General features: G+C 49.4%; 2 long non-coding RNA genes across 6 annotated transcripts, besides 2 other annotated features; one reads left to right on the top strand and one right to left on the bottom strand.

Moving 5' to 3' along the window:
* Window positions 4,965-5,508: an enhancer, noted in NCBI's record as "NANOG-H3K27ac hESC enhancer chr14:93377003-93377546 (GRCh37/hg19 assembly coordinates)". NCBI's record gives its function as "activates a minimal SCP1, AML or CMV promoter by ChIP-STARR-seq in naive H9 embryonic stem cells {active_cell/tissue: H9 hESC(naive)}" and the evidence as "EXISTENCE:reporter gene assay evidence [ECO:0000049][PMID:30033119]".
* On the top strand, window positions 8,684-10,469 carry LINC02287 (long intergenic non-protein coding RNA 2287). The gene is made up of 2 exons (NR_135253.1): window positions 8,684-9,097; window positions 9,500-10,469. It is a non-coding gene; the product is annotated as a long intergenic non-protein coding RNA 2287 (long non-coding RNA).
* Window positions 12,126-13,325: an enhancer, noted in NCBI's record as "BRD4-independent group 4 enhancer chr14:93369186-93370385 (GRCh37/hg19 assembly coordinates)". NCBI's record gives its function as "activates an origin of replication core promoter dependent on BRD2, P300/CBP, MED14 and CDK7 cofactors, and independent of BRD4, by STARR-seq in HCT116 cells {active_cell/tissue: HCT116}" and the evidence as "EXISTENCE:reporter gene assay evidence [ECO:0000049][PMID:35650434]".
* On the bottom strand, window positions 22,658-24,756 carry LINC02833 (long intergenic non-protein coding RNA 2833). 5 transcript variants are annotated; one of them, NR_184267.1, is made up of 3 exons: window positions 24,465-24,756; window positions 24,279-24,371; window positions 22,658-23,410 (listed from the first exon to the last, which is right to left on the bottom strand). It is a non-coding gene; the product is annotated as a long intergenic non-protein coding RNA 2833 (long non-coding RNA). The 5 variants fall into 5 exon arrangements; NR_184265.1 differs by having other exon boundaries at window positions 22,658-23,385; NR_184263.1 differs by having other exon boundaries at window positions 22,658-23,421; window positions 24,719-24,756.
* Window positions 24,757-27,325: the final 2,569 nt, after the last annotated feature.

Genomic DNA, 27,325 nt, shown 5'->3' with positions numbered 1-27,325 from the left:
GGAGTTAATGTGCATCAGGTGTGTCACACAGAGTTTGGCTTGGATGAGTGTGGACTCAGTGGCAGCGCCTGCCTGTTCTTCTCGTAGCTTTGGGATGTGGTTTTTCAGGTGGCTGAGGATCTCTGATGTTCAGGATGGTTGAGCTACACATGGCTGTGTCTAGTGCCCCCTGAAGGAGAGGCAGGAAATGAGATGGGGGTCCCTGGTGAACTGAGGGGTGCTGCTCCTGCTCTCCACTGAGGAGCAGAGGGTGAGCTCATGACCCCAGCCCTCAGACCCTGCCTCTCCAGAGCCAGCCCAGTTGAGGGTCAGAGGCACAGACAGAAAGGTCTTTGGGGAGCTCTGGCCTGGAGAGAGGATGCACAGTGCACTCCCTAATGGTGGGGCCTGCAAGGCAGAGCTGAGGCCCCTTGTCTTCTGCCAAATGATGTTTCAGAATCAGTTAGCTGAGCTGCTTCCCCACTAAAGGACAGGCTGTTCCTCCACCCTCCCCTCATCCCCATAGCTTAGAGACTGAGCAGTCTGGTTACCCATTTCTCCTCATGCATCCCCAACCTTCAAAGGGCCAGCAGAGAAGCCAGGACCCAATGGGCCTTAATCATGGACCTTTCTCCTTACCTGGACCCAGTTCAATCCAGGCACTGACCTGGTGTCTTCATCTTCATCCACCTGCCCAAGAAGACTTCTCTTCCTTCTGTGTCTGAATTCCATGATGAGGACTTCATCCCTGTGGTCAAAGCTCAGCAGCCCCACCCCAACTCACTCCCAACAGGAGATGCCACATGTCAAGCATTCTCGGTCATTTTCTCTGCTGTATGGGGGGATCCATGCAGGTGGGGCAATGGCACCAAACCACTTTTATCTTCCAGAAAAACTAGAAATTTATACCCTCAGAATGATCCTGTCATATTTCTTTGGCTTTCTCTCTTGTTATCCCACTCTTATCCCCTCATCAGCAATGCAGCTTCAGCTGCACCAGTCTAGGGGAGTCCCACCTCCCCTGTGGCATATGCATGTGCCATGCATGTTTCTGCTTCCGTCCCTTTCCACATGTGCCCTGGCCAGGAATGCCTTCTTCTCTTGCTTATTCATCTTCCCCAAACATTAAGGCTCAGCTCAATTCCACTCCATGCCTTCCACCTCAGGAGATCACTGTCTGCTGAGATCTTTTAGCATTTACCATCCTCAACACCACTACTTGGCTCCTGCCAAATACTGTTTTGCTCTTTGTGTAGATTACTTTGTATGCAAATCTTTTTTTTTTTTTTTTGAGACAGTCTGGCTCTGTCACCCAGGCTGGAGTGCAGTGGCATGATCTCGGCCCACTGCAACCTCTGCCTTCTGGGCTCAAGCAATCTTCCCACATCAGCCTCTGGAGTAGCTGGGACTACAGGTGTGCACCACCACACCCGGCTTATTTTTGTATTTTTTCGTAGAGGCAGGGTTTCATCATGTTGCCCAGCCTGGTCACAAATTCCTAGGCTCAAGTAATCTGCCTGTCTTGGCCTCCCAAATTGTTGGGATTACAGGCATGAGCCACTGAGCCTGGTTCTTATGCAGATCTTTTATCTGCCCAACTAGATTTCAAGCCTTTTTAGGGGAAGGACATTGCTTCAAACTATCCCAGACCCTACATCTATGGGAATATGACCTATTTTTTTTTTTTCATGGAGGTGAAAAATAGCTTAACCCAAATATGAGGACAATGGGATTTTTCACAAGGTAGGAGACTGGTTGGGAGGTGTTTGATGGGGATGACGGGGGGTCCTTTCTGGATCCCCTGCCTGTGTGTCACCCTGTGAATAGTACTCACACTGGCTCTTCATGTAAAGATGAGTAGGTCAAGCGATGCTCTGTGGGTCTGCTCCAGTGTGGGCGGAATGCAGCGCTCAAGGTTCGCAGGCTGCTGTCCGTGGTCCTGAACTACCACCTTCTGTGGAGGAAACCTGGGTACTGATTTTGGTGACTCTTATCTAACACCTCCCAGGGGTTATAGTTTTAACGTCTTACTTTTTTTTTCTAGCTGTTTAAACTTTTGAAATTTTCAGATAATTAATTAGAATCATGGCTTTGTTTCTCAAAATTCTCAAAAATTCATGGAGCTTTATCAGATTTCCAATAGTCAGACATTTTTTACCTTTGAGAAACTGGAGGTGAAGTCATATGTCTCCTCCATCATGTCGCTCACAATATTTTTATGATTTTAAGACCCAGCTTGCTCCATGAAGTAGTGCATTCCCACATTTTTACATCATTTTGTAGACATCATATTAGCTTTACCTCTTACTGACTGGGTGAACATGGACAGGCCAATTCACCTATATTGGCCTCAATTTTCTCTTTCTAAAATTATGGCAGTAACTAGGCACAGTGACTCATGCCTGTAATTCCAGCACTTTGGGAGGCCAACGCAGAGGATCCATTGAGCTCAGGAGCTCAAGACCAGCCTGGGCAATATAGTGAGATTCCCATCTCTACAAAAAATAGAAAAAAATAGGCATGATGGCACATGCCTGTAGCCCCAGCTACTCAGGAGGCTTAAGGAGGAGGATCAATTAATCCCAAGAAGTAGAGGCTGCAGTGAGCCTTGATCTTACCACTTCACTGTAGCCTGGGTGACAGAATGAGACTCTATCTCAAAATAATAATAATAATAATAATAATAATAATAATAATAATAATAATAAAGTAAAATGGTGGGAGTGATGGTGCAGAAGATTTGGACTTGATTATCTCAGAGATCCCTTTCTTTGCTGAAGTGGTGGCTCCTGATTCAATGCCCCTGTCTCTCACATCTCTGTGAGCCTTTCCTCCCAAGCTCTTTAAAATAAACAAGAAAATCTAGGTCATTCCCTGCATCAAGCTCAAAGGCAGTTTCTCACAAATGGCCTTACTTCAATTGCTAGTAACAAGGGGAGGGCTTCTGCATGTGAGACCCACTCCCATCGCAGAAGGACATTCAAAAACACCCGTTCCTCTTCTCTCATGTAGCGGTGACCTTACCCATATCCCAGCTTTCCTGCTGGAAGTCACGTGTTAAAAAGCACTTGGTCCCACATGTAAGCAGTAGGGAGGTGTCTACACATTCTGGAGTAGGTCTGTGCCTGAACAGGAGGTTTTGAGGACAGCAAAGGCTACTGAGTTGGCCTCAGAACCAGGGAGCCTTCCCAGCGTGGAGGATCTCAGAGGCCTCCTGCTGCTGTCATATCCCTGATGAAGGGGCTCAGAAGAATCCACAGCCTCCCTCTCCCATCAGCCCCCTTGGCTCCCAGCTCCAGGACAAGTGGTTCAGGGCCAGTGGGTAGATAAAGCCCTCGCTTAAGCCTGGACCTCCCTAGGTGTTGCAACCACCTCATCCTTAGATCCCAGTGAGAGATCTTATTCCTGAGGCATTGAGTGCTAATAAATAATAAATGCCGCTCCCTCTCCCTCTCCCTCTCCCTCTCCCGCTCCCGCTCCCTCTCCCGCTCCCTCCTCTCCCTCCTCTCCCTCTCCCCACGGTCTCCCTCTCATGCGGAGCCGAAGCTGGACTGTACTGCTGCCATCTCGGCTCACTGCAACCTCCCTGCCTGATTCTCCCCTCAGCCTGCCGAGTGCCTGCGATTGCAGGCGCGCGCCGCCACGCCTGACTGGTTTTGGTGGAGACCGGGTTTCGCTGTGTTGGCCGGGCCGGTCTCCAGCCCCTAACCGCGAGTGATCCGCCAACCTCGGCCTCCCGAGGTGCCGGGATTGCAGACGGAGTCTCCTTCACTCAGTGCTCAATGGTGCCCAGGCTGGAGTGCAGTGGCGTGATCTCGGCTCACTACAACCTACACATCCCAGCCGCCTGCCTTGGCCTCCCAAAGTGCCCAGAGTGCAGCCTCTGCCCGGCCGCCACCCCGTCTGGGAAGTGAGGAGTGTCTCTGCCTGGCCGCCCATCGTCTGGGATGTGAGGAGCCCCTCTGCCTGGCTGCCCAGTCTGGAAAGTGAGGAGCGTCTCCACCCGGCCGCCATCCCATCTAGGAAGTGAGGAGCGCCTCTTCCCAGCCGCCATCACATCTAGGAAGTGAGGAGCGTCTCTGCCCGGCCGCCCATCGTCTGAGATGTGGGGAGCGCCTCTGCCCCGCCGCCCCATCTGGGATGTGAGGAGCGCCTCTGCCCGGCGAGACCCCGTCTGGGAGGTGAGGAGCGTCTCTGCCCGGCCGCCCCGTCTGAGAAGTGAGGAGACCCTCTGCCTGGCAACCACCCCGTCTGAGAAGTGAGGAGCCCCTCCGCCCGGCAGCTGCCCCGTCTGAGAAGTGAGGAGCCTCTCCGCCCGGCAGCCACCCCATCTGGGAAGTGAGGAGCGTCTCCGCCCGGCAGCCACCCCGTCCGGGAGGGAGGTGGGGGGGTCAGCCCCCCGCCCGGCCAGCCGCCCCATCCGGGAGGGAGGTGGGGGGTCAGCCCCCCGCCTGGCCAGCCGTGCCGTCCGGGAGGGAGGTGGGGGGGTCAGCCCCCCGCCCGGCCAGCCGCCCCGTCCGGGAGGTGAGGGGCGCCTCTGCCCGGCCGCCCCTACTGGGAAGTGAGGAGCCCCTCAGCCCGGCCAGCCACCCCGTCCGGGAGGGAGATGGGGGGGTCAGCCCCCCCACCCGGCCAGCCGCCCCGTCCGGGAGGGAGGTGGGGGGGTCAGCCCCCCGCCCGGCCAGCCACCCCGTCCGGGAGGGAGGTGGGGGGATCAGCCCTCTGCCCGGCCAGCCGCCCCATCTGGGAGGTGAGGGGCGCCTCTGCCCGGCCGCCCCTACTGGGAAGTGAGGAGCCCCTCTGCCCGGCCAGCCGCCCCGTCCGGGAGGGAGGTGGGGGGGTCAGCCCCCCGCCCGGCCAGCCGCCCCGTCCGGGAGGTGAGGGGCGCCTCTGCCCGGCCGCCCCTACTGGGAAGTGAGGAGCCCCTCTGCCCGGCCACCACCCCGTCTGGGAGGTGTGCCCAACAGCTCATTGAGAACGGGCCAGGATGACAATGGCGGCTTTGTGGAATAGAAAGGCGGGAAAGGTGGGGAAAAGATTGAGAAATCGGATGGTTGCCGTGTCTGTGTAGAAAGAAGTAGACATGGGAGACTTTTCATTTTGTTCTGCACTAAGAAAAATTCCTCTGCCTTGGGATCCCGTTGATCTGTGACCTTACCCCCAACCCTGTGCTCTCTGAAACATGTGCTGTGTCCACTCAGGGTTAAATGGATTAAGGGCGGTGCAAGATGTGCTTTGTTAAACAGATGCTTGAAGGCAGCATGCTCGTTAAGAGTCATCACCACTCCCTAATCTCAAGTACCCAGGGACACAAACACTGCGGAAGGCCGCAGGGTCCTCTGCCTAGGAAAACCAGAGACCTTTGTTCACTTGTTTATCTGCTGACCTTCCCTCCACTATTGTCCCATGACCCTGCCAAATCCCCCTCTGTGAGAAACACCCAAGAATTATCAATAAAAAAATAAATTAAAAATAAATAAATAAATAAATGCCAGAGTAGGCACAGAACAATGACACTGAGAGGGCAGAGAATTTTTACAAAAGCGGGGAGCTGAGCCTCAAGTGCATTTGTCCTAGAATCACCGGGCCAGAAAGGTCCTCAGGAGGTCACCTTGTGTCCCTCATAGCCTCGCTGATAGCAGAAAGGAAGAACAAAAGATGCATACAGAAAACTCTGGATGGTTGGGGGGAGTGGGTATGGTGGCTCACACCTGTAATCCCAGCATTTTGGGAGGCCAAGGTGGGCGGATCACTTGAGGTCAGGAGTTCGAGACCAGCCTGGCCAACATGGTGAAACCCCCTCTCTACTAAAAACACAAAAATTAGTCGGATGTTGTCGTGCACGCCTGTAGTTCCCCAGCTACTTGGGAGGCTGAGGCAGGAGAATCTCTTGAACCCGGGAGGTGGAGGTTGCAGTGAGCCGAGATTGCATCACTGCACTCCAGCCTGGGCAACAGAGCAAGACTCTGCCTCAAACGAACAAACAAACACTCCAGGGACCTCCAAGCCCAACCTCACCTCCCAACTAAGAAAGAAAACCCGGTCCAGGGAAAGGGGCCTGGGGGACCCAGGTGCTTCTCTGAGCAGAGCTTACTGTGCAACCTTGAGCATAGTTCTTAAACCTTTTGGGCCTCAGTTTTCTCATCTGCCAGTTGGAACTGGGTGCAGAGGAGCAAGTGTTTGGGATGTCCTTCCGCGATAAGAGTGGGCCTCACAGGGAGAAGCCCCCCATTACTAACTTGGGAGAATACTCAGTTCTGTTCAATGACCATTCACTATTTCACTCATTCATGTATTAATTCAACAACTATTTATCTGAGCATTTACTATGTGCCAGGGCCAGCATTTGGTGTTGGAGATGCAGCGACAAACAACACAGGCAGGGCCTCTCTTTTCACAGGGCTTGCTCTCTATTGCCTGGGGAGACTTCAGAGGGCTCTGAGCCAGCTGTTGAGATTGCTTCAGAGGAAGGCAGGGTCTCTCTTGGCTAGGGCCTTGGAGGAAGAGGAAAGGAGGGAGATGAAAAGGATGGTAATGATGATATGGAATGTTGATTGACTGACTGAATGAATGAAAAGTTTTGGCTTCTTCATGATGTGGTGTAAGAAAGAGAGGGGGGTGGTTAATGTGTTGATATTACAAATCCAGGCCGAAACACTCAGATTTTAAAAGTGACCAAAATATGTTGGCAATATAAATTTAAAAGTCTTAAAATGTGCATGTCCTCTAACCCAACATTCGTCAAGGATGCAAATATGGGTATATAAAGATGTTCAGACTGGGCGTGGTGGCTCACGCCTGTAATCCTAGCACTTCGGGAGGTACTAGGGAGGCTGAGGCGGGTGGATTGCCTGAGCTCAGGAGTTTGAGACCGGCCTGGACAACATGGCAAAACCCTGTCTCTACTAAAAATACAAAAAAAAAAAAAAATTAGCCGGGTGTGGTGGCACACACCTGTGGTCTCAGCTACTTGGGAGGCTGAGGCATAAGAATCACTTGAATCCAGGAGGCAGAGGTTGCAGTGAGCCAAGATCATGCCACTGCACTCCAACCTGGGGTGACAGAGACTGTCTCCAAAATAACAAAATAAAATGAAAAATAAAATAAAATAAAAGTTTCTTGTGGCAATGTTTATGAAAGCCCCCAAATGAAAAACATCCAGATATCTATCTACTGGGGATCAACTAATTCACATACATAATGGAGTATTATACAGCCATTTGGACTAATGCTTTAGAAATGTAGCAACATGGCCGAACGCAATGGCTCATGCCTGTAATCCCAGCACTCTGGGAGACCAAGGCGGGTGGATCTCCTGGAGTCAGGAATTCGAGACCAGCCTGGCTAATGTGGTGAAATCCTGTCTCTTCTAAAAATACAAAAAATTAGCCAGGCGTGGTGGCGGGCACCTGTAATCCCAGCTACTTGGGAGGCTGAGACAGGAGAATCACTTGAACCCAGGAGACAGAGGTTGCAGTGAGCCAAGATCACACCACTACACTCCAGCTTGGGTGACAGCAAGACTCCACCTCAAAAAACAAAAAGAAATGTAACAACACGGTAAAATATTCATGATATATAAATGGAGAAGACATGTATGGTATACCTTCCTATGTACATTATATGTGAAAAATGTCTGAAGACATACATCATGTTAACAATAGTTGTTTAAGGTGGTGGGTTTATGGGTGTTAAAAATTTTTTTCTTTATGCCTACTGGTATTTTCTTTTCTATTTTAATTAATTAGTTTATTTTTGTAGAGATGAGGTTTCTCTGTGTTGCCCAGGTTGGTCTCAAACTCCTCGGCTCAAGAAATCCTCCTGCCTCAGCCTCCCAAAGCGCTGGGGTTACAGGCATGAGCCACCATGCCCAGCCCCAGTGGTATTTTGTTTTTCTTTCTTTTCTTTTTTTTTTTTTTTTTTTTTTGAGACAGAGTTTTGCTCTTGTTGCCCAAGCTGGAGTGCAATGGTGAGATCTCGGCTCACTGGAACCTCCACTTCCCAGATTCAAGTGATTCTCCTGCCTCAGCCTCCTGAGTAGCTGGAATTACAGGTGCGTGCCACCATGCCCAGTTACTTTTTTGTATTTTTAGTATAAACGGGGTTTCACCATGTTAGCCAGGCTGGTCTCGAACTCCTGACCTCAGGCAATCCACCCACCTTGGCCTCCCAAAGTGCTTGGATTACAGGCATGTGCCCCCACGCCAGGCAGAACTCTCATACACTGCTGGTGGGAATGTGAAATGCTACAATCACTTTGGAAAGCAATTTGTCAGTTTCTTTAAAAAATGAAACATATACCTCCTAAATGACTCAGCCATTCCACTCCTAGGTACTTACCCAAGAGAAATAAAAGCGTTTGGATACTTGTACATGAATATTCATGGGAACTTTATTTGTAATACCCCCAAAATGGAAACAACCCAAATATCTATCAATAGATAAATGAATAAACAAGTTGTGGTATATCCACATAATGAGATACTACTTAGCAATAAAAATAAATGAACTATTGATATATGCAACAACATGGATGCATCTCAAAATAGAAGCCAGACAAAAAGAATACATTCTGGATAATTCCATTTATATAAAATTCTAGGACATGCAAATGAATCTGCAGTGGCTGAAAGCAGGTTCATGGTTGCCTGGGGATGGAGAGGGTGGAACGTGGAGAGAGGGAGTGATTGCAAAGGCGCAGGAGGAAGTTTTGGGAGGTGAGGGGTGTGTGTTCACTGTTTTGATTGTGGTGATGACTTCACAGGTATATACATATGTCAAAACTTACCAAATTGCGCACTTTAAACATGTACAAATGTATGTCGATAAAGCTGTTTTTAAAACAGAGGCTGCCACGAGCATAGAGGCAAAACAGTCGATGCCTCCCAGTTTCAAGCTGGTTTGGTCATCATGGGAGAGCGTTGCTGTCCTCATCTCACCCACACAGAACCTGGAACCCAGAGGGGTTAAGTGCTAGTCCGGGCAGAGCCCATGGCCAGATTCTTTCTTCTCAGGATCCAGCGCTTTCTTTGCAAAGCACTGAGTGTGCTTCCAGGAGCCTCCCAGAACCTATCGGCATGCCCTGAGCTGAGGGACATGGTGTCCCTGCCACCTGAAGGTATAATCTCCCCTTCAGTTCACACTCCTCCCCCAGTCGTGGTCCCTCAGCCTGTGTTTGCAGCCAGGAGGCTGGCTTCATTTGCAGAGAGGCTGTGATTGCAGCATCTCCCCAGGGAAGTAATAAAGAGTGGGAATGAGATAAGGGACAAAGGCAATTATCTAACAACCTGTGTCCATGGCAGAGAAGGACTCAGGCCAAGCTGGGGATTCCTGCCCCGTCCCCGTGTCCTTGAGAGGCTGGCAGGGCCACTCTGCCCAGAAGAGTTCTCCTGGGCAAGGGGTCATAGTGGGGGGTAGAGGGGAAGGAGGTGGTAGGAGGTGGGGGTGGGTAGGGGTGGGGGTGCCAGGCTGGGCCCCAGAAACACTTGGTTTCTGTCCCTGTGTTCCTCCCCCGCTGCAGGGCCCTCCACAGCATTTGGAGTCAGAGCTGGCGTGGGATCCTGGAAAAGCTGAATGAACGCAGGCTTTGTGTGTGGACGGACCTGGGTATGCATCCTGGCACCAGCTGGGTCTCAGTGACCACCCCTGTGAAATGGGGGTAACAACGGTCCCTTCCCCATACGACCCTGCCATGTAAGGTTCAGTCAACCCCACTTGCCCTCCCCTTGCTTGTCCTTCTACTTTATGTTCTCCTGAGACTCTGCAAACCAGAGAAGGGACAAGCTGAGGCAGGAGGCCTTGAGCCTTGAGAGTGGATGGGAGAAGGAGAATGTGGAGAAATGGGGCAGCTGTGTTTGCTGAGCACTTCCTGTAGCCCAGTACTAGACAGAGCACTTTACACGCTCTATCCCCTTTAATCCCCACAACAGCCCTGTGAAGTATTCACTGTCCTCCCAGCTTCCCCAAGAAGAACACTGAAGCCTCCCAAGAGCAAGTCACTCATCCAAGGTCACAGAAAGTAGACAGGGGCAAATATAGGCCTTGAACCCAGGCAGCCTGACTTCCAAGTCCCTGTCTTGTGGCTGAAATTCCCCACCAGTTTTCTGGGGTCTTTGCATTTCTGAGTCCCGACCCCACTAGTTGAGATGCTTTCCCCAGCAGTGATCCAAGTTCAGATTCTCTCTGCAACTCCTTGTTACGCAAGCCACCCTATGATCCCTCACGTGTGCGGAGCACTCTACAGTTTACAAAGAACTCTTTCATTACTACTTATGCCATGGGTGGTTCCGAATCCCTTGAAACAAGAGAGGACTGTTGTTGTTATCCCGGTGTCTACCATGAAGATGGTATGGATCCCTTCCTAGGGAGAAATGGACATTGACGCACACTGGACCATTTTATCTGCACAACAAGTAAACAGTATTAGGCCCAGTTTACAGATGTTAAAACTGAGGCCTGGAAGAATTAAACAGCTTGCCTAAGTTCATGAAGCTAGCGAGTGGCTGAGCCAGTATTTCCTCCCAGATTTGATTGGCCCCAAAGCCCATACTCTTCACCACTTAATCCACTGCAAGAAGTAATCACTGTCTGCCTTCCCCAGCCTCTCCCTAAGAAGGCTCTGAGGTCCTTATCTGAAGGCTCAGTCCTGCCATTTCCTGAGGCAATCAGACAACATTCATGCATTTGTTCACTTGTTCAACAAATAGGAATGAGCACTCGCTGTGTACCAACACTCAGACACTTGGTTTCTGAATGCCCATTAGCCACAGGCCCTGCTCTCGAAGAATTCACTGGTGGACAGAGATGAATGAGGCGGTTCATCTCGGGATACAAAGTGTAGAGACCACACATGTACCTTGGTTCTTTCTGTGCAGAGAAAAGCTATCTATTTTCAGTCTCAATATTTAGCAGTTTCCATAGATACCAGATCATAACTAATTAGACCAAAGCAAGTGTTTATTTCAATCTTTGATGTCATCTACTTCAAACATTTTATCCAGTTACGTTTATTTCAATCATTCATGCGACACTAACTGAGCACCTGCAAGGCCTTGTACTTGAATGAAAACATTAATAGTAATAATCATAACAATAACCAAAAAATTACTCTCATCGATTGATAATTTCATTCTTCTTTTCTTTTTTGTGACGGAGTCTCGCTCTGTCACCCAGGCTGGAGTGCAGTGGCAGAATCTCTGCTCACTGCAACCTCCACCTCCCGGGTTCAAGTGATTCTCCTGCCTTAGCCTCCCAAGCAGCTGGGACTACAGGTGCCCATCACCACACCCGGCTAATTTTTGTATTTTTAGTAGAGATGGGGTTTCGCTATGTTGGGCAGACTGGTCTCAAACTCCTGACCTCAAGTGATCTGCCCACCTCAGCCTCTCAAACTGCTGCAATTATAGCGTAAGCCACTGCACCCAGCCCGATGATTGAGAATTTCTTATGTGCCAGGCACTATTCTGAGTGCTGCACAGGTATTAATTCATTTACTGTGCAACAGCCCTTTCAGGGAGGCACTATTATTATCCCCTGTACTGGACGAGGAAACTGAGGTGGAGAAAGGTTAATGATTTTGCCCACTCAAAAATAATATTGGAGAGATATCTGTCACCATCTGATTTCTGGTGATCCAAATATAGCTGGATCTGAGAGTTAAGACTTCCCTCCTCAGGTCCCAAGCCCCATCTTCCTCTCGCTGGTCTCTGATTCTAGCATCAATCTTTTACATCCTTGTGCTTTTTCTATAAGGCTGCCATGAAATTAAGCACACACCCACTGGCCCAGGCCAACAAGCTGGCTCCAAGACAAGGCCTACCTAGACTAAATGCTCAGAATTGGGAGTTGGGGAGAATTTCCAGCAACCCTGACACACCCAATGGCCTCAGGACGGGAGGAGGTCTCTGAGAAACGTTGTGGGGGAACATGGGACTCCCCTTCCCCTCTGGCCTCTTCCCACACCTCAACACACCCGAGCCCTCATACATGACCAAGTAGAAGTCAGGCCCTGGGTCCGGTGAGAAGGTCGCAGGGATTTGAGCCAGACAGAGTGCAATGAAAGCCCACTTCTCATCCAGAGGTGCTGGGAGTTAGGGAACAAGCTAGAGGGTCCTCAGTGCTGAAATACGGGGGGTCTGTACTCATTTGTTACAGTGTCACTAGAGCCCTGGGGACAGGGTTGCCTTCCCTTCCCCCTCCCCGCTGCCCCCAGAGGCCAGCTCCCAGGGAGGCTGTGCTGCCCCTCCAGCCCTGGCGGACCTCTCAGAGCTTGTGGTCGTCAGATCATTGACCCTGAAGGCACCCTACCAATCACCTTGATGAGAAAACCAAGACCAGCCTGAAGGCGAGTGGAATTTGGACTAGAGTCCAGAGCCCACGACACCTGTGCCCTGGTCCTTACTCCCTGCCTCATTCCAATATCCTAAAAGGGTATCTTTGCACCTGCCAGAAATGCAGCCCAGTCACATGGTCACCCCCCTTCCTGTGTGTCCTGCCCCCTCACCTGCTCAGGAAGTCAGAGTGGGAGTGCACAGGTCTTCCTGTGGGTGTCTCCACCCAGAAAGCTGCCTTTGGGTTTATTCCAGAAACACGAGATCAGAGGACCTTTGAGCTGAGACTCAAAGAGGGCTGGTTCAAGTCTGAGGTCTGATAGTTTGGGAGGCAAGACCTGGGGCAGGTGAGTCACCTTCTGATCTCTGGTGCCTCATCTGCGTCGTGGGACATGGAGGCTGGCAGTGGCTCGTGAAGGTCAGATGACGAGCATCATCACTGCGCCTTCCAGCTGTGAGCTTCACACACAATATTCTGTGTGATTAGTGGCATCAAGACTTGAACCTGAGATCTCTGCTTCCAAGGCTGGGACTCTTCTGCCTGCAGCACTCTGCCTTTTGCTGTGGAAAAGGTTCTGAGAGAGGCGGGGCGGTGTCCTCTATCTCCTGGGATTCCCAGCATGCGGATCACAGAAGGTGTCCTAATAGACATATTTCTGTGTCCTTGAATGTCCCATTTACATTTTCCTGACTTCTGAACAGCCTGTGCCTGAGCTGGCAAGAAGCCTCCCTCTCGGACCCCTGTGACTGCCTGCCATCCCGTTCCCACGCCTCAATCAATTGGTCCCCGAGTTCCGTTGTTTTCTCTTATTGTTTTCATGCGGAGGAGTTACCTCCTTCCAAATCGGGAAAGGAGGTTGGAAGAAAATAGTGTGACAGCTGTCCTGAGTCGCGCACTGCCCTTGATTGGCCAGTGCCGGGTTTGGGTCGGGTTTCCACGTGGCTTCGTACAGGCGTTGCTTCTCCCTTGGCATCTGTAGTAAACGCTGTTGCTCTGAGCCATGTCCCCTCAGCCCCACGCTGACATCAGCTGTGTCCCTGGTGGTTTGTCCTCGTGCTTGATGGTGGCTTCCCAACTCAAAGCTTTACTGTGTCTCTCAGCTTCTGTTCTTCAGATTTTTTCCCAGCAAAGCGTGGGGACTGGGGGACAGTGGTCCGTGGGTACACACCCCAGCCTCATCATCATTCAAGACAATCCTGAGGTGCATTTTACACCGTTCCTCACAGGGTTCCCAGTGGAATCAAGCCCAGTTACCCACATCAGTAGCCAACTCAGTAATGCACTGAGTGGTTTTCTCTCCTTCCTGATCTCACTCTCCTACGCCCTCACTTTGGTTTCCTGGCATGGATTCCATGTCAACTCCCTGCACCCGAGTCCTTGTCTCAGGCTCTGCTTTAGGAAGAGCTCAAGCTAAGACCAAAATGTGAGCCAGGCTTGCGGAAGGCATGAGGAGGAGGAGGAGGAGGAGGAGAGGAGGAAGAGGAGGAGGAGGAGGAGGAAGATAGTGATGCCCTGGCTGAGGAGTCAGGAGACCTGAGTTCCAAACCTACAGCACCTTACACACTCGAAATTCATGGGTTGAATGCATAAATGAATGAGTGAGTGAAGAAATTAAGCCAGGCGTAAGGGCTCACATGTGTAATCCCAGCACTTTGGGCGGCTGAGGCAGATGGATCACCTGAAGTCAGGAATTTGAGACCAGCCTGGCCAACATGGTGAAACCTGGTCTCTATTAAAAATACAAAAATTAGGCTGGGCACAGTGGCTCACGCCTGTAATCCCAGCACTTTGGGAGGCCGAGGCAGGTGGATTACGAGGTCAGGAGATCGAGACCATCCTGGCTAACACGGTGAAACCCCTTCTCTACTAAAAGTACAAAAAATTAGCCGGGCATGCTGGCAGACACCTGTAGTCCCAGTTACTCGGGAGGCTGAGGCAGGAGAACGGTGTAAACCCGGGAGGCGGAGCTTGCAGTGAGCTGAGATTATGCCACTGCACTCTAGCCTGGGCAACAGAGCAAGACTCTGTCTCAAAAAAAAAATTAAATTAAATTTAAAAAATAAAAAAACTAGCAGGGCATGGTGGCACATGCCTGTAGTCCCAGCTACTCAGAAGACTGAGGCAGGAGAATCGCTCACACCTGGGAGGCAGAGGTTGCAGTGAGCCGAGATCACGCCACTACACTCCAGTGAGACTGTATCACAAAAAAAAAAAAAAAAAAGAAGAAAAGAAATGATAGTAGATATTATCTTGACTATTTTGTAGATTTGGGAACCATGGTTGGCATTTCTAGTGCTCATCAACAATTTCTATTTTTTTTTCTTTCTTTGAGACAGGGCTTTCTCTCCTTCCCAGTCTGTCACCCAGGCTGGAGTACAGTTGTATGATCTCGGCTCACTGCTACCTCAACCTCCTAGGCTCAAGTGATCTTCCTGCCTCAGCCTCCTCAGTAGCTGGGACCACAGGTGTGCACCACCATGTCCAGCTGATTTTTGTATTTTCTTTTCTTTTTTCTTCTTTTCTGGAGAGATGGGGTTTCACTATGTTGCCCAGGCTAGTCTTGAACTCCTGGGTGCAAGCAATCCAGCTGCCTCAGCCTCCCAAAGTGTTGGGATTATAGGCATGAGCCGCTGCATCTGGCTTTTTTTTTTTCTGCTTTTGTTTCGTTTTGAGTCTGTTGCCCAGGCTGGAGTGCAGTGGTGCAACCGTGCAATCATGGTTCACTGCAGCTTTGACTTCCCAGGCTCAAGTGATCGCCTGCCTTAGCCAACCTAGTAGTTATGACTACAGATGTGAACCACCATGCACAGCTAATTTTTCAATTTTATGTAGAGATGGGGTCTTGCTATATTGCCCAGGCTGGTCTCAAACTCCTAGCCTCAAACAATCCTCTGGCCTTGGCCTCCCAAAGTGATGGAATTACAGGTGTGAGTCACCATGTCTGACCACTCACCAACAATTTATAGACATACATTGTTATCCTCTGATGATACTAGCTTGCTCACCTGAATTAAGGTTGACCACATGACTTTCTTTGGCCAATGAAATGTGAGCAGAAGTGATGTGTGTCACTTCCAGAGGAAGGCAGTTAGAAGCCCGCGGGCCTGCTCCCTGCTCAATTGCCTGCACTGGCAGCCCTGAAGCAGTGCAGTGAAATGGAGGTGCTAGCAGACTGAAGTAGCTGGATTGTTGAGCCACCTTATAAAGGACAGTGACCCTGGAGTTGCCCACACCAGCAATGCATTTTTTTAAATGAGTGAGAAATAAACTCTTGCTGTTTTGAGCCTAAGGTGTTACTGCAGAATCACCTCGCTCATCCTAACTCATCCACGAACCAAGCCCCAGGAGAGCTGACAGTTGGAGCCAGGCCTGGAACCCAAGCATTTCCTCTCAGCCCAGGTGGCCCTGGTCACTGATAGAGGCTTCTGCCTGTTGCCCTGTTGATATGGTTTGGCTGTGTCCCCACCCAAATCTCACTTTGAATTGTCGCTCCCATAATTCCCACATGTTGTGGGAGGGACCTGGTGGGAGGTAACCGAATCATGGGGAGTGGTTCCCCCATACTGTTCTCGTGATAGTGAATAAGTCTCACGAGATCTGATGGTTTTATAAGGGGAAACCCCTTCCTCTTGGCGCTCCTTCTCACTTGCCTGCTACCATGTAAGATGTGTCTTTCGCCTTCTGCCATGATGATGAGGCCTCCCCAGCCATGTGGAACTGTGAGTCCATGAAACCTCTTTTTCTTTATAAATTACCCAGTCTCAGGTATGTCTTTAACAGCAGTATGAAAACAGATGAATACACCTATGTTTGGAAGTGAAGCAGCGTGGCCAACAGGGTGGCCATTCCCACTGTGTCCTGCTTAGCCAACAGCTCCTCTCTTGTCCGCTTTGTGCTGGGGACTCCTGCCCAGAAGCGGATGTATTGAGAGGAGTTGGATAAGGGCTGGACTGGATGATCGGTGACTCCAAGATGAGAATATTTTACCTCCAGACTCCTGCACAGTTGAATTCCTCTATTCCCAGCCAACTCTGTCCAAATGTGAAATTGCAGGGGCCCTCTTCCCTGACTCCCAGCCACCCCACAAATGCTTACATCCCGAGTCGTAACAGCAGGAAGTGGACACATATTCTGTGGACGTGGCCTGTGTGTCCAGAGTGTGTGAGCCACCAGCTCCCTGCGTGGCTCTTCATGGGCCAACCAGAGGCACAGCTTCCCCTTGGCCTCCTGATCTCATGCCCTCCCAGAACAGGAACACAGCCCCCAGGAGAATGAGGAATGTGGCACCAGGGCCTGCTCTCTAACCCCGGCTCCATCTTTCTCTTCCCGTCTGCCTCGGTTTCCTTTTCTGTAGAATAACAATATCAAACATCTGAGGGCAGACCAGTGCTGTGCTCAGCAGGTGACATGCCATAGTAAAGGACGTGCCATATGAGGAGTGGGGAGGGGAGGCAGGGGGCTTTTGCTCGCAGGAGAAAAATCAGATGGGGGCATGAGAGGTGGCTTTAAACCTCCAGGAGGCTCTGACAGGGAGGGTGGCTTAGATATCATTTTTCATTATAGCAATTATCACTAACTAGCAGCGTATTTTCTATTTGTCTAGAACATCAGCCCCATGAAGACAGGATGGGGACCTTGTCTGTCTTGTTTCTTACTGGCATGCCAAAAATCGGGGTATGTGTACAGTAGGTGCTCACTTAATACTTATTGAATGTCTGAACTCATCCTCTGTGGCTTCCAAAGGATGAAAGTTCCAGGGAGGTCGTTGAATTTTCTCTGTGCCCCCCAACAACTCTGTTCATCCCTCCCCCCTCTGCCCCGTGCGCCCCTCCGCCTCCCGGAGTCAGCCACTTCCTCTGCTAATTGGAGTCCGAGTCAGACTTCCTGCTGCTCAGGGTGGTGGCTCAGGTGAATCGCATCAGGGCTGACAGAAAGTGGTTAATTAGCTGGGAAGGCTGGAGGTGGGTGGTTGCTGAGCGAAGCTGAGCAACAGAGGGAAGTTATCCCCACAAAGGGAAAAGGGCCCCCACCCCACCATACACCCATCATCTAGCACCAGGAGCTGTGAGCTATTGAGCTGTGGAAATCCTTATGTTGATCCAGCAGGGGCGGGGCATGAATTGGGACTCACTGCAATTGAAAGTTAATTTTAAGTATGATACAGAAGGCAGGCTGGCACTGGGCTGTCCTGCTCTGGCCTACAGGTGAGCCAGGATTGGATTGGGAAGATGAAACCCCAAAGCCAGGGTCATCTCAGGTTGCATTACTAGAAGTCTATCCCCCAACACAAGGGAGGGGAAAATCTACCATGGACCAGGCTAATTAAGTCCTCATTTTGCTCCCCTCCAGTGGACTAGAGACCTGGTCCTGAGCCCAAGACCCTCCAGTTGAGCCTGCAGGGACTCAGTGTGCCAGAGCTGAGAGGCTGCGGAGTCTGGCAGAAATGGGGCTCAGTTTCCGCCTCCATCCTACACAGCTTGTGACACTGGGTGAGTCACATCACCTTCCTGAGCTTTCACTTTCTACATGTGTAAAAATGTGGCCAATAATACTTTCTGGAGTTGTTACAAAGATTAAATGAGGTTATACAGATAAAGAGTCCAGCCCAGTGCCTGGAACATGTCAGGGCTCCACAAATGTGAGTTTCCTCTCCTAACTTCCTCCCCTCCGTGGCAGCCCCACTCCCCACCCACAGCCTGCCTGCACCCCTCCTGGTTGACTGAGGCTGTGTCTGCCTCGCCCACCTGACTGCAGGGTGTGCCTGCAGGGTCCAAGAGGACCCAGGCTGCTTGAGTCTGAATCCTATCTCCACCTTAGATTGTCTGTGTGACCCTGGTCAAGTCACTTTACCTCTCTGTGCCTCAGCTTCCTGGTTGTAAAGTGAGGACAACAACAGCACCTTCTGCATAGGATTGTGCCCCGCTCCCCTACATTTAGAGAATTTTTTTTTTTTGAGACGGGTTTCACTCTTGTTGCTCAGGCTGGAGTGCAATGGCGCAATCTCGGCTCACCACAACCTCTGCCACCCAGGTTCAAGCGATCCTCCTCCCTCAGCCTCCCGAGTAGCTGGGATTACAGGCATGCACCACCACACCCAGCTAATTGTGTATTTTTAGTAGAGATGGGGTTTCTCCATGTTGGTCAGGCTGATCTCGAACTCCCGACCTCAGATGATCCGCCCGCCTCGGCCTCCCAAAGTGCTGGGATTACAGAGAATGTATTTTAAAATCATGAAATAGTTCCTAAATACAGAAAAGAATCCAGGTTTCACATTTTCACGTTTGCTATTTGCTTCAGACCTTTTTTGTTTACGAAGAAATAAACTGTCGATGATTTGGCTCCATCGTGCCCCCTGGCATCCTGGTTCCTTGCACAAAGCCAGAGCCTGCAGCCTAAGGCAGGATCGTGTTGAGGGTCAGAGCATGCAGCATGAAGGAGCTGCCGGCAGTCTTGGGAGCTCAGGGTGGTGAGCAGGATTAGTATCCCAGAGACGTCTGTTTTAGGCAGATGACTTGGGCAAATGTTGCCGGTGCGGATAGAAAAGGGAAGGTAAAACAGGCAGCAGGGAGACCAGCTGAGGATGGTTTCTGTCATCCAGGGGAGGAGGTAATGGCTGGGAGCAGGGTGGAGGTTGTGGGAATGCAGATTTGGGGGTTTGTCGGGGTGGCTTGGCGAGGGGGGAAGGGGCAAAGACTGGATTCAGGCTCAGATGGTAAAATGGATGGCGCTGCCTGTGGCTGCAGTCCTGAAGGGCAGCACCAGGCCTGGAGCAGATGGAAGAAGTATTGGCTGTGGTGAGGGTCAGGGCCCGGGACCAGGGGCAAGGGAGAGGTGACCAGAGTACAGGAGCACAGGCATTGATGTGAAATGGGGAGGGTGGGCTGGGGAGAGTGGAGGGAATAGAACAGAAGCTCGAGGGCACTGGGATTTAAGGGACCCACGGAGGACCAGCCTACAAGTATGTTGGCACCTTCTGCCTCCTGGCCCCCAGGTGTGTTTCTGACGCCCATGTTCTTACTCCCAGTCCTGAGTCTGCTGGAGGTTCGTGCTCTGCTGACCCAGCCCCTTTCCCAGGTCCACGCCCCTCGCTCATGTCCTTGCAGTCCAGGGAGCCTGAAATTGGATAAACCCAGAACCCACCTTGCCTAATGGCAACTCCACCCCTCCTTCCAAGTCACATCATCTAGTTATAGGATAGGACCTCCCTTACATTTAAAAAAATGTGTTTAAGCTCATTTAAGTTTCCATCCTTTGTAAATGAAAGAACTCTCACTAACACGTGTCCCAAGGCTAATGTCTCTTGGATGTCACTCTTGAGTCCTAATGTGAAAACTTTGTTTTAAATATTTTTCCAGACAGCCATGGTGGTTCTTGCCTGTAATCCCAGTACTTTGGAAAGCCTAGGTGGTGTTATTGCTTGAGCTCAGGAGTTCAAGGCCAGCCTGGACAACACAACAAGATCCCATCTCTACAAAATAAAAAAATTAGCTGGGCGTAATGGTGCACACCCAGCTACTCAGAACGCTGAGGTGGGAAGATCAGTTGAGCCCAGGAGTTCGAGGCTGCAGTGACCTATGATTGCACCACTGCACTTCAGCCTGAATGACAGAAAGAGACTATCTATCTATCTATCTATCTATCTATCTATCTATCTATCTATCTATCTATCATCTATCTATGTATCTATTCTATTTCCAGAATCATCCAGACCCTTACAGTGCTCAAGCTATGCCAGTTTCTCTGGATATATCCTGTTAGTATTAGTCATCTATTATTGTGTAACTAATTACAGCAGTGCCCCCTTATCCATGAGAGATATGTGTCAAGACCCTCCCCTGCCCTGTGAATGCCTAAAACCGCAGATAATACCAAATCCTATATATACTATGTTTTTCAACCTGATAACCAAGATGGCTATCAAGTGACTGATGGGTGGATATGCTGGACAAAGGGATGATTCGCATCCCGGGTAGGATGGAATGACAAGGTTTTATCATGCTACTCAGAATGGCGACTAATTTAAAACACTCGTTAATGTATAACATTTTCAACCTAATATTTTCAGACTGCAGTTGACCAAAAGTAATAAAAACCACAGTAAGTGAAACCTCTGATAATGGGGGACAACTGTACCTCAAAACAAAGTGGCTTAAAACAACTCTCAATGTTTATTATCACAGTTTCTGAGGGTTAGGAGTTCAGAAGTGGCTTTGCTGGGTGGTTCTGGCTCAGAATCATGAGGCTGTGGTCAAGTGGTTGTAGTTGTGAAAGTGTAAGAATCAAAATGGAGTCACTAATGCTAAGAAAACCCTGACAAATAGAGCCAGGAAAGGCTGTGAATAGAGGCTTCTCACGCTTGTATGCCTGATAATGAAAAAGACTACAAAAACCACAACCTTGCACAGAGGCCATTACAACCTTACACAAAAAATACATCTGCAAGGACACCTGCCCGGCAAATGCCTGTGCAACCTTGAACTGCCATCACCCTTGTTACTGATTTTTGTAGCCAGGGATAATTATTTCAAGACAATTATGTAATCCTCCTCATTTTTCCTTTAAAAACTTTTGCCCTCCTTTACCTCCATGAATATGCACATAATTTACTATGGCACACATATTCCCATTGCAATGCTCTAGTCCCAAATAAACATCTTTTCTTTTAGACAGCCTCTCTATATTTGTTATTTAGGTTAACACAGTCAAGTTGTGGGCCAGGGTTGCAGTCATCTGAAGGTTCGACTAGGGCTGGAGGACCCACTTGCAAGGTGGCTCTCACACACAAGTGAAAAATTGGTGATCCAGCCTAGGCAACACAGGGAGACCCTGTCTCTATAAATAAAAAAGTTTTAAAAAATCAGCTGGGCATGGTGGCACATGCCTGTGGTCCCAGCTACTTAGGATGCTGAAGAGGTAGGATCTCTCGAGCCTGGGAGGTTGAGGATGCAGTGAGCCATGACTGCACCACTGCACTCTGTCTGGGAGACAAATTGAGATCCTGTCTCCAAAAAATAATTTGTGCTAGCTGTCGGTAGGAGGCTTCAGTCCCCTACTTTATGGGTGTCTCCATGGGCTGCTTGAGCATCCTGCTGACATGGTGGTTGGCTTCCCCCAGAGAGAATAATCCAAAAGAAACTGCCAGCTGGAAACTGTAATGTCTTTTACGACCTGGCCTCAGAAGTCATTTACCATCATTTCTGTAATATCCTATTGGTCACACAGGTCAGCTCTATTCAGTGTGGGTGAGGACTGGACCATGGCATGAATACCAGGAGGTGAGGATGACTGGGGACATCCTGGGGGATGCAGACTCTAGGCTACCTTGTGGTAGTGACTTGGGCACCCTCCTAATAACCCTGACATCCTGGAGAGAAAGGCTTACCCACCCCTGCCTGCATGAGCCAGCCCCATCTGGCTGTCTCTCCCACCCCTGTGAGTGGCTGCACCAACTCCTCCCCCAGAGCTGTGGGGCTGGTAGGACCCTGAGAACAGCCTCCAGCCCACCAGTCTAAGCTGAACACCATGGCAATGGACTCTTGTCTACTTCTCTCTTTGGCCATCTAGGGGGCATTACTGTAACTTTGGTGGACTCTGATTTCCTTCTCTGACAGGGTGACAGGCTGTGGGCCAGAGAGGCAGGGCTGAAGTCATATGTGGTAGGACATGGGCCAAAGCTCTCTTCCTAACACAGCTACTCCCAACAGCAAGTATTCAGGAACTAGGGCCATTTTTTAAAACCTCATCTTTAAAAAGTGGTGTAGGAAAAAGCAAAGACACTGGACCAGATGGCCTCAAATCTCCACCACAATACTTGCTATTTTTCCTTGGCTAAGACAACAAAATATCCTGATTCTCAGTTTCCACATCTGTAAAATAGGGGCGATAATAGTTGTGTTAGTACATTTTGTGTTGCTATAAAGGAATGCCTGAGGCTGGGTAATTTCTAAAGAAAAGAGATTTATTTGGCTTATTGTTCTGCAGACTGTACAAGCATGGCACCAGAAGCATGATGCCAGCATCTGCCTCTGGCGAGGGCTTCAGGAAGCATCTAATCATGGCAGAAGGGGAAGGGAGCCAGCGTGTCACATAGTGAGAGAGAGAGAGCAAGAGAGATGCCGGGCCTCTTCTAAACAACCAACTCTTGCATGAATAGTAGAGTGGGAACTACTCATTCCTGTGAGGGAGGGCACGAAGCCATTCATGAGGGATCTGCCCCTATGACCCACACCACTCCTACTTGGCCCCAACTTCAACACTGGGGATTACATTTCAATATGAGATTTGGAGGGGACAAACATCCAAACCATATCAATAGTGCTGTCAAAAGATAAAATTACAGCAAACTTAGTTATAGATCTAATTGTCTTTTATTCATAATTCATGAATCATGGCTGACTCTACTCTACACAATAGAATGAGTTCTCTCACTAGGGCAAGCAGAGCAGTGAGCTTTGTAAGGTGGGAGTAAGGAAACAGAATAGTAGAAGAGAAGCTGATTCATTAATGTCAGGTTACTTCAGGTTACTTTCTCATAAAGGTCAAAGAAGAGGCAACTTTCTTACTAGGTTGACTCTGGTAGACTGAAATTTCCTGTTTTCAGGAAAAAAAAAGGTCTGTTTTAGGATTTATCAGCTTCCTTAGAGTTTCAGTTTGATTATATGACATTTAGCATGAGTGACTCCATTTTGATTTTGTCTGTTCTGTTGGAGCCTAGTGCAGGGGCTTAGTCCATTGTTTTGTTTAACAATGCCTATCTGTAGTGTTTTAACCACCTGACCAGTTCTTCTTGCCAACTGCACAGATAGAGCTAATTTACTGAGATAGCGGTATGGCAGTAGAGAAAGAGTTTAATAAATACAGAACCAGCTAAGTGGAAGACAGGAGTGTATTACTTAAATAAATAAATAAAGCTTAGAGCTAAGGTTTTTAAAGAATAGTTTGGTGGACAGGGGCTAGAGAATGGGGAATGCTGATTGGTTGGAGATGAAATCCTAGGGGTGTGGAAAATGCTCCTTATGCTCTGAGTCAGCTTCTGGGTGGACTGGTTGAGTCATGAATCATGGGTCCAGGTGGAGTCTGTAGGTTACCACAATGCAAATTTCTGAAAAACATCTCAAAAGACCAATCTTAGGTTCTACAATAGTGATGTTGAGCAATGACTGGTTATCATCTAACTATGCAGACATTTTAGCAGAATTCAGGCCCTTCCCACATTTCTAATCTAGTAGGCTTTCATTAGTTTTACAAAGGTGGTTTCAGGGGTTAGTTTTAGGGAGGGACTATTATCATCCTTGCTTCAAAGTTAAACTATAAACTAAGTTCCTCCCCAGGTTTGCTTGGCCTACGTTCGGGAAAGAGTGAGGACAGCCAGCCTGTGGGGCTAGAAATAAGACGGAGTTAGCCATGCTGGACTCTCTCACTGTCATCATCTTTGCAAAGGTGGTTTCAGTGTTAAATGAGAAAATGTGTAAAGTCCCAGCCCACACCTGAGACTGAGGATGACTTTTGTGTGATTATGATTGTTAAGCTTTAGGGCAGGGAGGGATGTAGTAGCTGAGGCAGGATTGGAACCTGGCTCTGATAACTGGCTTCCTTCCCCTGGGGCTGCAGGAGCATCCTTGTCCCCTCCCTCAGTGTCTCTCCTTTCACTGGGTGCTGTCCACTCCCCCTGGGAGCTTCTTGGCTCTCTCTGCTCTTTCCCACACAATGCCTAGAGCTCATGCAGGTCATAGGGTTTCTTTTCCTGATAGAAACTAGGGCACCTCCCCTGCCAATCAATCGCCTGTCAATCCTTCCACTGTGTGGAGGGAGAAGTGCTGAACTGTAGATTTACCTCCACTCCTCCTCTCCTGAAAATCTTTCCATGGCTTCTCCTGGTCTAAGGCGAGCCCTGAAGGCACAGCCCTTCCCCAGGGTGCCAGGAGTCCCAGGCTGTGGGGACAGGGAAGGGGATTTTATCAAACACTTACCCTTTCAGAGATCCTGATCTTCCTATCCACCCCCACACCTGCCCTTTTGATGTTCTCTTAGTGATGGGAGTGGGTCCTGCCCATCAGGGTAACCTGAGGCAGAAAGAGAAACAGTAAATACATTGAAAACTGCTGATTTACACTACAGATGCTACAGGATATCAACCCCAGATTCCTAACCCTGACCTTCCAGTGCCTGAGATTCAGGGCTGACCCGGATGCAGACTATGATGTGCAGCTCTACAGCCCCACCCTGATCCAGCCAGGCACAGAGGAGGTTCTCAACAAATATTTGCTGAGCCCCTGAAGTTGCTTCAGAAGGGCTGCCTTGGACTGCTGAGTCCTTGACTTCCATTTCTCTGGGTGGTGGGTGCAGCAGTTTGGGCTGGAGGAAGCTGGGGCGGTTCCATCCAGTGGAGCTGTGGTGGGAGATTCATTACCTAGAAGCACGAGGTTCCTGGGGTGGCGGGTGGAGGCTGCTGTTTGCTTTAGTCTCTACTCAATCCCTGCTCACAGGTTGCCTGGCAACCATTGTTCATTTACTCACCATTGACTTTGAAAATAAAAATCAATTTCCTTTATGACGTGAGTCAGAGGGTCACATTAACCCCCAAGTTTAAGCAGTCCAATTTTATTGCTCAAAGATTTATGAGCAAGGATGTATACAGAGCACTATTTATAATAGGAAAGGTTTTTGGGAGGGGTGCTGAACCACAGTATCTATCAGAGGGGTGTGATTAAAGGAAGGCCCTTTCTTACAACAGAATATTCTGCAGCTGATAAAATAATGATAGAGATCTGAGCGTACTGACAGGGGAACATTCTCATAATGTAAGTGAAAGACACAAGCAGGTTACAGAACAGCATGTAGAGTGTGTTGCTGTTTTCATTTAACAAGATATGTGTGTGCGTGCATGTGCCTGTTGCTTAAAAACATTCTGCAAGGGTACACATGGAAAACAGAAACAGTGATTTTCACTCTGGAAGGGGATTGCAAATTTCAATTATCTTTCTATCTTTCTCTACTATTTAATTTTTAAAATAAAGCAAGCACGTGTTACTTTTTCAATTTGCAAAAACAATAATGTCATTTCTTTTTCAAACAGAGAATTCCAACTCTGAGGGCCAGGGGAACCGCCTCTCCAGGGCCCACTGGGGTTGAGACTGCATGGATAGTGCCTTAGTCCTTTTGGGCTGATATAACAGAATGCCTTAGACTGGGTGGCATAAACAACTCACATTTACTTCTCATGGTTCTGGGGGCTGGGAATTCCAAGATCAAGGTGCCAGTGGATCCAATATCTGGTGAGGGCCTGCTTTTGGTTCATAGATGGCCATATTCTCACAGTGTCCTCACATGGTGGAAGGGGCAAGGCAGCTCTCTGGGGCCTCTCTTATAAGGGCACTAATCCCATGCCCCTATGACCTAATTACCCCCCAATGGCCCTACCTCCTAATACCATCACACCAATGATTAGGTTTCAACATAATACTTTTCGGGTCATATGTTGAAACCATCGCAGGCAGCCAGGGCCAGGCTGGGGTTGAGCAGAGGAGTAGGAGGATGAAGGGAGGCCAAGACTTCCCCTGAAGGGCAACCAGAATGCTTCCAACTAGGCAGTTCTTCTCTCCAGTCCCTGGGAGTGTCCAGGCTGAAGCTGGGTGCTGAGGAGGGATGTCCTGCAGTAATGGAGGCTGGGCCAGGTGCCTCCTAGAACCCCAGGAAGTGGGAAGGTTGAGCCAGTTCACTGAGATGGAGGGAGGGCAGGGCACGGACCAGAGCTGGAGGCAGTGGAGGGGCCCACCTCTTTTGACTGCTCCTCTTTTCTGTTGACCCCATCTCTTTTGACTGCTCCCCTCTTCTTTTGACCCCACCTCTTTTGACTGCTCCCTCTCTTTCCAGGCTGGTGTTCCCTCAGGCTCCCTCTTGGCCTCACATTCTACACCTTCCTTCTGGGTGTTCTCATTCATGCTCATGACTTCAGCTATCACCTATAGCCTGACCATGCCCTCCTCTCCACACCTGAGCCCATCCTTCAGGATGGCCCCTGTTCCTAAAAGTCATGCTTAGTTATATCACTGTCTTGCCTGAGATCTTCCGTGGGCTTCCTTATGTCTGCAGGAAGGAATAGAAGGCCTTCTGAACCTGGCTCCAAGCTAAGCCCTCCCCAGTTCCATGCATCTTTTCTTTTGCATAAGCATTTATCTCTCCGTAATGCCACCCCTCTCTTGTCTACAAAACAAACTCTTCTTTTTTTAAGACCCTAAGATCAACCTCCATGGTGAAGCCTTCTTAGTTTCTCCAGGCACCCTATACTCTGTACTCCCATAATCCTTTGCACACCCCTTGACTACAGCACTCATCACACTTTGCCATTAATAGTATTGATTTGTCTTTGTCTCACTCTCAGCTTGTGAGTTCTGTGAGGCAGATGGCTTATTCACCCCAGCTCCAAGCTCAGGGCCTGCACATAGGGGTGCCCAGAAAGTGTTGGTAGGATGGATAGATGAATGGTTGAATGAATGGATGGGTGGATGGATGGATGGATGCTTGGATGGATGGATGGATGGATGAATGAGTGGGTGGATGGATTCCATTGTTTCCTTCAATATATGAACATGTAATTTCTCCCATCTGAAAAAGAAAGCAAGAAACTCCCTTGATTCTACTTCACCTCCCTTTCTTTATAACAAAGACTCCCACAAGAGTGATCCACTATACCAGTCTGTTTCCTCTTCTCACATGCTCTCTTGCACCACCTCCAATCAGGCTTTCACTAATCCACCAACACTGTGCTGAAGGAAGTTGCCAGTGACCTCTGCATTGCTAAATCTAGGGCCAGTGTCAGTCATCAGCTTACTAGATCTTGGCAACATTTGACACATGCACTTTTTTTGGAAACACATTCTTCTCCTGGCTTCCAGGAACCTTAGTCTCTTGGCTTTCCTTCTACCCCAGTGATGGCTCCTTCTCACTCTCCATAGCTGGCTCCTCCATATCTCCCCAACCTCAGACCTAGGGCTCCTCCTCTGTTATAACTCCCTTA

Source organism: Homo sapiens, chromosome 14 (assembly GCF_000001405.40).
Source record: "Homo sapiens chromosome 14, GRCh38.p14 Primary Assembly".
Lineage (NCBI taxonomy): Eukaryota > Metazoa > Chordata > Mammalia > Primates > Hominidae > Homo > Homo sapiens.
The sequence above is the reverse complement of the archived record's forward strand: the minus strand, read 5'-3'. Positions and strand labels throughout refer to the sequence as shown.